Source organism: Homo sapiens, chromosome X, assembly GCF_000001405.40.
Source record: "Homo sapiens chromosome X, GRCh38.p14 Primary Assembly".
Classification (NCBI taxonomy): Eukaryota; Metazoa; Chordata; class Mammalia; order Primates; family Hominidae; genus Homo; species Homo sapiens.
This window is the reverse complement of record NC_000023.11, coordinates 145,468,614-145,476,421: the sequence shown is the minus strand read 5'-3', so window position 1 is coordinate 145,476,421 and position 7,808 is coordinate 145,468,614. Positions and strand designations below refer to the sequence as shown.

At 37.4% G+C, this 7,808-nt stretch overlaps 1 annotated feature.

Annotated features, from left to right (window-relative positions):
* Window positions 643-1,842: an enhancer, noted in NCBI's record as "MED14-independent group 3 enhancer chrX:144556098-144557297 (GRCh37/hg19 assembly coordinates)". NCBI's record gives its function as "activates an origin of replication core promoter dependent on BRD2, BRD4, P300/CBP and CDK7 cofactors, and independent of MED14, by STARR-seq in HCT116 cells {active_cell/tissue: HCT116}" and the evidence as "EXISTENCE:reporter gene assay evidence [ECO:0000049][PMID:35650434]".

Genomic DNA, 7,808 nt, shown 5'->3' with positions numbered 1-7,808 from the left:
AGGTACAATAGGCTTGCTCCTTTTCAGATCTATCCATGCTAAGTTCAGGCATACAGTGCTTTATTGGTCCCATTCTTTAATGGACTCCACCCATTACCCTGAACTCAGTGATTTTAGCTAAAAACAGTAGCTGTGTTAAAAAGAACACCCCATGGAACTACGCTACACCTTTCTGGAATTTAATTGGCCATACTGAAACACTTTTGTAAAAGAAATTTACTTCTGTAAAGGAAATCTCAATTTTTATGGATATCTGGTTATTACATTAGAAATTCTTACCATTCTTTTAAGTTTACATAATAAGTCATACCTTTGTTTAAGGTGCTTTTCTGGCCATTTTTTCTTGATGGAACTTTCGTGAGAGTGTCGTTTTTTTCCCTTGGTTTGAGCAAATGATGATACAATATTTAGGCCTAACGTCTTAGCTCTGTGCTCATGAAATATTTTTTTTTGGTTCCACCTAAGAGTTGTCCTTTTAGAAATCGAAACTGCCTAGTTAACGACTGCTTAGAGTAATGAAACTGGTAATTGGAAGACTGATAGACCGAATGGGGAAAAGACAAACTATTTAAAAGCAGATAAATGAAAATCCCTTATGAGAGCTATGAGGTCTGCTTCTGTGTGTTCGTATGTCTGTGTGTGTTATGTAGATGTGATATTTGGTAAATAAAGCTAGTTTTTAAATTGTTGGTCAAATAGAAATGGCTTTAAAATTATCAATGAAATATAATTGGATACTTGCTTGATTTCACTGTGAGCTTATGTCTTTTGTTTAGAGTCTCTGGATTCAGGGGTCTAGATAGGTGACCATGACAAAGTCAGGAGACAGGTTCCTAGTGCCTAGACCAGCAACTGCAAGCCAGAACCAAGCCCAATATGACCCTTTATTCCTCTTCTTTCCCTGTTTTGCCTCCTGGCTATTTTGGGAGGGGCTGGATCCTCCAGGTATAGTCTTCACAGCTCTGTCTTCTGTCCTGATGGTCTCAGTCAGGCCTTGGCCTTCAGATCCTCCTGGTTGCCAGGTGGCTAATTGGGACCTGGAATGACTGGGGGAAGACATTAGAGAGGTGACATGTGTCATAGTTTCAAAATTCATTTCAGTCATTTAAAATCTTTGAGTCATGTTATGTTAAATTAAGTAATAATCATGTAAAAAGTAAAGTAGAGCTTCCTCTTCAAAGACTTTCCTCCCCATCTAATTAGGAATAAATAGTAACTTTCTCTTAGAAACAAAATTTATTCAAAGACCTGTGCTAACATTCTTCAATATCTGCTAGCGGTAATAAAGAAATCAATGTACTTTATGTTCTTAGCTCCCACAATTTAGCCTAAATATTTGCCCTGGCATGCTCATACTGGTCCAAGCAAGCATTAGGTCATAGCCTGTGCCTCTTCCTTATGTGAAGGTGTTTTTACCTTTCTCAGCATTCCACAAGTTACTTCCTCCTTCCTTTGGTGTCCTCTGCCTTTGCCTCTTTTTAAAAGCTCTAAGTTGCTAGCCAATCTGGACAAATACAGAATGTGAGGTCCCGTTCCAGCCAACGGAAACCGGACACAGCAGTAGGGTAGACGTGTCAGGTTATAAATGACCCTGTCTCCTTTGTTCGGTATACTCCCGTGGCAAGACTGCTGGTGAGTGTACCCTTTCTGCAGAAAGTAAAAATGGCCTTTTTGAGGAAATTAAATTTATGCCCAAGTGCTATTTCTTTATGGCACCGGGGAACAAGCATTTCTAAAAATCATAAAATGTCTGAGTCATTTGTAAGTTAAGATACTGAAATATTAATTACTGAACTTGAGTTTAAGTCTATATACCTTGACATCTTACTTTTACGTGGTATAGACAAGGTAAATATATTTAGATCTGTCAATAAACAATAATTTGAAAAACTATTTTTCTCAAAAATTATAAAATGGTTTTAAATTTGCAAATCCTAACATAAAACAGTTCAAAATTTCTTTCTAGGGTTTTTACTAGAAATTTCCAGTTATTAGGCATTAAAAACAACTACATATGAGAGAAACAATTCTGTATATAGTGTATAACCAAAGCAAAATATGCATTTGATAAGGAAAGTTATAAAAGCATAAAAATGTGTGTTAAAAATTTTGTCTGGTTTAAAGTTACTTAAAGTCTTCAAACTGAAGGAGTAAAAAATAGATAAAACAAGATAAATATAGAAAGTTGAGGAAAAATATAAAATGTTTATAGAAATCTTACAGTTAAAAGATGACAAATTTGATAAATTTTTATGAGGTTTTATTAAATTTAGTTTTTGTATTAATAGTACACTAATACGGAAGTAAATTATGTTTTCTCTTTTTTCTCTTTTGAAAAAAATTTTGTGTAGTATTAATAAGACAGTAAAATATTTTCATTCACTTTTTGAGTAAACTGAAAAAAAGGAAAGAGAAAACAAGAGGAGACAGCTTTTGTCTCATGCTGTCTTAAGTATTTTGATTGCTTAGAAAACTAAGTCTCCTTTATCAAAGAGTACAGGTATGATAAATATTTGTTTTTAAATATCTTTTAATTATCACTTTGGTTATATTAATGACTGTTGTTTAACTGTGATCTGCGATTCCACTTTGGTCACTTTTTAAACCTTTAAATTATTGGCATAAAATCAAATTTCAGCTTCAAAGTTAAGTATTTTTTTTGACCTCTAACTTTGAGATGCTACGGAGGGCTCCCTGAAGCATCCAAAAGAGAAGTAACAGGATTATTTGACATGTTATGTTACATGGAAAACATTGTCAAAATAAGAAATAATGTTTAACCTTCTTCAGGTTAAATTTTAATGAATGTTATTAATATATGTTCCAAATTTATGTGAGATTTCTAAAATTTGCACATGTCTGAGTATATGCTACTAATTATAATTACGGTTCTTATATTATTATGGACCACAGAAATAACCAAATTTCCTTGTCACTTGTGTCGTTATGACTATTTAAAGTCATTTCCAGAGTTAATTGCTTAATTCTGATGCTGTTTCTTAAAACTTCACAAGCACACAAAATCCTAGAATATGGTATCTTTAAGAAGGTTCTTGAAAGGATGCAAAGGATTCTGAAAACCACTCTTGAATTCAGGTTTCTTATAACTTTAGAATCATTTCTTTTGGACGGTTAAGAATTTCTGGAACTTCAGTGAAAAGACTGACTGGTTTATAAAACTGCTAGCCCAAGTAGAACAAAAATCAATTAAATACCAAGAAGTTTATGTTGCCAGATATGCTAAATCAGCCAATACTGATATTGTTTAAATGTATGATTTGAGTGAACTCCACGGTCTAAGTCAAATTACCTATGATAATCCATCAGCCATCAGTGCTATGTACCTAAATTGGAGAAACAACTAGTATTCGAAAGGACGTTAAGTTTGTCCAGTGTTAAACATGGACTCGGGGAGAACCAGGATGGCCACCTGTCCTTCCTGAGTTCTTAAACCGTTTGTTATTAAAAGTTCTGCATTCCATGACTCATCATGGAAAAGATAAGATGATCAAAATTAAATATATATTGGTATGGTGACTTCTAAATTGCTAAAATAGTTTATGACCAAAGTTTTGTTTGTCAGACCAATATTCCTGGGAAGACAATGAAAGATTCAGGTACATTCTGCTACCTGATGGGCCACTTAAACATTTACAGAGTGATTTCATTAAATTGTCATCTTCAGTGTGTTGTAAGACTTTTCCTTGGTTCAGCTAAAGATAGGGTTCTTTGTCCCAAGTCCATGAAAATTGATGCTTGCTGACAATTTGAATGGTAAGACAAGATTTTATTTAGTGAAAAGGAAGAAAAGGAGAAAACAAGGGATTCTTGGTAGGCCACAGTTTCTGCTTAGTGCTTCCCCCCGCCAGCCAACTTGAATCCCAGGTTCCACACAGGAAGAGGCGGGGCCAGGCCCCTCCCCACTGCAAATGGTACAAACTCCCCAAGGTTCCACCCCAGCGCGAGTTTTTCCGGGGACCCTCTCCCACCTGGCTATATCATTCCCCCGCCCTAAAGAAGTACATCTAACTGCCGTTAGATTAAATATAAGCATGAAGACCCATCTTAACTGCTTCCTGCTGACAGGGGGTGCTGTTTTGGGAAAATGGCAGTCAGAGCTCCCTCAGAGGCCAACCTAAAGATTTCCAGCAGAAGGGGCCATTGTCAGATGCTCTGGTTGTATGACTGTTTGGAGTTTGATGGTCTGAAGGCAAGAACAGACAAACCAAGTTATTAGAAAACATGTATCAAAATGAAACAAGGGGAGGGGTACGGTCAGCTCAAAAATTCTGAGGCTTTTTACCAGTTTGCACAGGGAGAGGGAAGCCAAAAGCCTGACTGGTAAAAACACTTTACCCTTTCCTGGCATGTTGGGCTTCTGGGTTCCCTTCTCCTGAGCCCAATCCTAAGCCAACTAGTTTAAGATTTGGGAAATTAACTCTTTCCAGTTTGGAGGATGCATCTGAGGGAAGTGTCTTTTAGTGCAGAGACACAGTTATCTATCAGTGAAGAGAAGACAGAGGAGAAGAAAGGAAAAAAGAAGGCATTTTTTTCAAAGGAGTCCCAGGGGTTCATGATGCATTCTAAAGGGGTACAGACTGAAAATGAATGGCTATCCATCTAGAAAGAGGGGAGCAGGCATCCCTGGTTCCCTTCTCTTCCTAGCAGATACCCACGGTACGTGAGGGAGAGAGGGAAGAGTGTCCCCTTTACCTCTTCCATCCTTGCATCTCTGAGTCCCAGTAACCTTGGCAGGTTCCGCCATGAGTGCTAAAGTGGCTTGCATCCAGGAAGCACAAAGGGCCTAGAGAATAGGAGTTATCTGCTCTCATCTATGCCTCTAAACCCACTACTGTACGTAGCTTGGAGTGCCCTAGACCTCATTTATGCCATGGATATTAACCTGGCCTTTATCCATGATACGGGAAGCTTGGGGTTGGCTTAATTGGCAAGAATCAGCCACGCTCACCTTTGCTGTGCCTTTTAACCACTTTTGTCATTTGCCTCTGGATCCCTCCGATCCAGTTTTCTTTTCTAGGGCTTTGACTCGAAGCTTGGAACTGAGTCTGGGACAAAAATGTGTCTGGTGGTGGGGGTTGCGTGGACTCCTTATTGTTAAGTCGAATGCTAAGGTGAAACTGTGGAACTGAGTCCTCTTCCAACAAGGGAGAGAGAAAAGGATGTCTTGTGACACACCCAGATAATTGGTGGCTATAGTTATGCTTACTAAGATTTGGGCACAGGTGCTTGTATTTGGTTAGCTCCCTTCGTCTTACTTTCCCAAAAAGGAAACCTCCAGGTGACGGGCATCCTATTTATTCGTATCACCTGGCAGGATTTGCAGGCTAATTGCCTAGAACTAGAGTATTGACCCGGATTTCTACATTACCCATCCCTTTTGTTCTTTCTGAGCTGCAGCCAGAGATTGTTGGTTGTTTCACAGGACCAAGCCGGGTTAGTCTAAAAATGTAGGCGAAAACTTAAAAACAACTAATGGGATTATAATTTAATGACAAATGTATGATAAGTTTTGAAACATGATTTCTGTCTCTCCAGTCCTCATGTTTGTTTAAAAAACAAATTATTATAGGACCGAGTGGTTTACAGAATACTTTAGTCTTATACTTGGCCTGATTATTTGCGTAAAGTGCAGCGAGAATAATTATTTCTACATAAGCCTTTTGGATTGGCTTTCATGAAACTCTGTTCCCCAAGGAATCTCAGATAAGACCTTTTAAAGCCAAGCCCAGCCATAAGTTTGTATCTTCAAATACCTGCAAGTTGGGTGATTCTCTCCTCTTAAGGTCCCAAGATAAACTTGAAACTCCTAGACCTGTTAGAAAGTGACATTCCTTATTGACCACCGGTCAGGAACCCTATACAGGGACTGTGTAGATGAGGGTTATGAGGCCAGTTTCCCCACTGGGCTTTTATTGGCTCTGCAAGTCGAGATTGACTCTTTAAAGGGAAGCATACCATTCCAGTCAAAGCCTTGGTAAAACTACCACTTTTTTAAATTGTGTCTTGTTGCAAAAAAAAAAAAAAAAGTATTCTTACTGCAGTGATGCAAAGGACTACATTGCCATAAGTTAAGAATACATAGTTTCCAAATTCTAGAGGAACCAAGCAGAGAGAAACAAACATGCTCCAAATCTTGGTCATAGGAGTATACCTCACTCAATTATTAAAGGCCATAAATAGTTCAAAATAAGTTGACTGTGAAAAACAAAACAAGGATCACCAATATTCCACGCAAAGGCTAAAAGGATTGCTTCAGTTTCTGAGTTTAGTCCATTTGGTTAACTCTTGTTTTGCTTGATATTTGTGAGCATTTCAGCTCTTCATGAGTCCTGTACATTTTCCTTTATTCCAATGTTATAATCTCCAAATTTATCAGAAACTTGATTGTCTCAAATAAAATCAGAAATTGTATTTGAGAGCACGTGTCAGAGTCCTATGGCTTATTGTAAACCATCTTTGAAAAGGATTAAAGCAAGACAACAGTTGTCTGTGAATAACAAAATGTCCAGGGTAGTTACAGTTAGAGACACAATTGAAATTGGTTATCTTCGTGATTTACTATAACTTAACCTAACAGCCTTTATTATGATTGATAGCATATATCAGACATTAGAATTTTAGAAATCCCATACCATTTTGGAACATATATTAACATTATTCACCAAAGATATAACCTAAAGAAGATTGAACATCATTTTGGCAATCCCATGTACCTAAACATGTTAAATAATCCTGTTTACCTCTTTTCTGGAGAATTCATAGGCCTTCTGAAGTATATGAAAAGCCAGGTGTCAGGAAAGACAGTTTTGAAACTTAAGTTTGATTTTGGGAAGGCAGTTAAATATGTTAAGTTTAAAACACTTGGTATTATGAAATGGAATTCCAGATTAACATAAGTTATTTATTTTGCCAAAATGATGACTCTGAAATTTTAAGAAGCAGAAACCCTTTGTAACCCTTTAAAAATGTTGCCAAAGGGCAGATTAGTGCCTTAGGAAAACCTTGTTATGCTTTTATTTCAATGCTCAATTTACAGAAAAACCATAGAATGCCCTTTTTTGAATTTAGTCAATAAGTTCACACAGAGAACCTCTTCCGCAAGATTAATTTCCACAATTCTTCCACCACTTCTTTGAACCTTCAGGTTTTTCTTATCTAATTTAATACAATCCTTTAACCCCAGGCAAAAATTTACATTTCCATGACTCATTATATCCTTTTACTAAAAAAAAAAAAGAAAAAAGAAAAAACCACACATTTTATTGTTCTTACACACCTTGCATGTAAATCTATTTTCAGTAGTTTCAATTACATGTCCAAATGATAACTCCTAGAAATTTTTAACTTTAAGGTAAAACTTGCTAAGTTGCTTTAACTGTGTGCTAAGTGCAGCCAAAGTTTGACTCCAGCATAATTAAGGGCGTGGTTAAGTTCCATATGTCCCAGGCCTTACCAATTGTGAAGCCGGCAAGTCAAGTACTTCTCAAAACCCAAAAAGCACCTTGTAACCTCAGAACTCTTAGCAAACCTTGCATCTGACCTGCATTTTACCAATAATCTTTAAGGCTGTTTTTATTTCTCAAAGATTAAAGTCATCTGAACTGAAAGGTACCACAGCTTTTAGCTTCCCTTAAAAACAAAATACTTGATCCAAGCGCTTGTCTTTCTCCCCTCCCTCCCTCCCTCCCTCTCTCCCTCCCTCCCTCCCTCTCTCCCTCCCTCCCTCTCTCCCTCTTTCCCTCCCTCTCTCCCTCTCTCCCTCTCTCCCTCTCTCCCTCTCTCCCTCT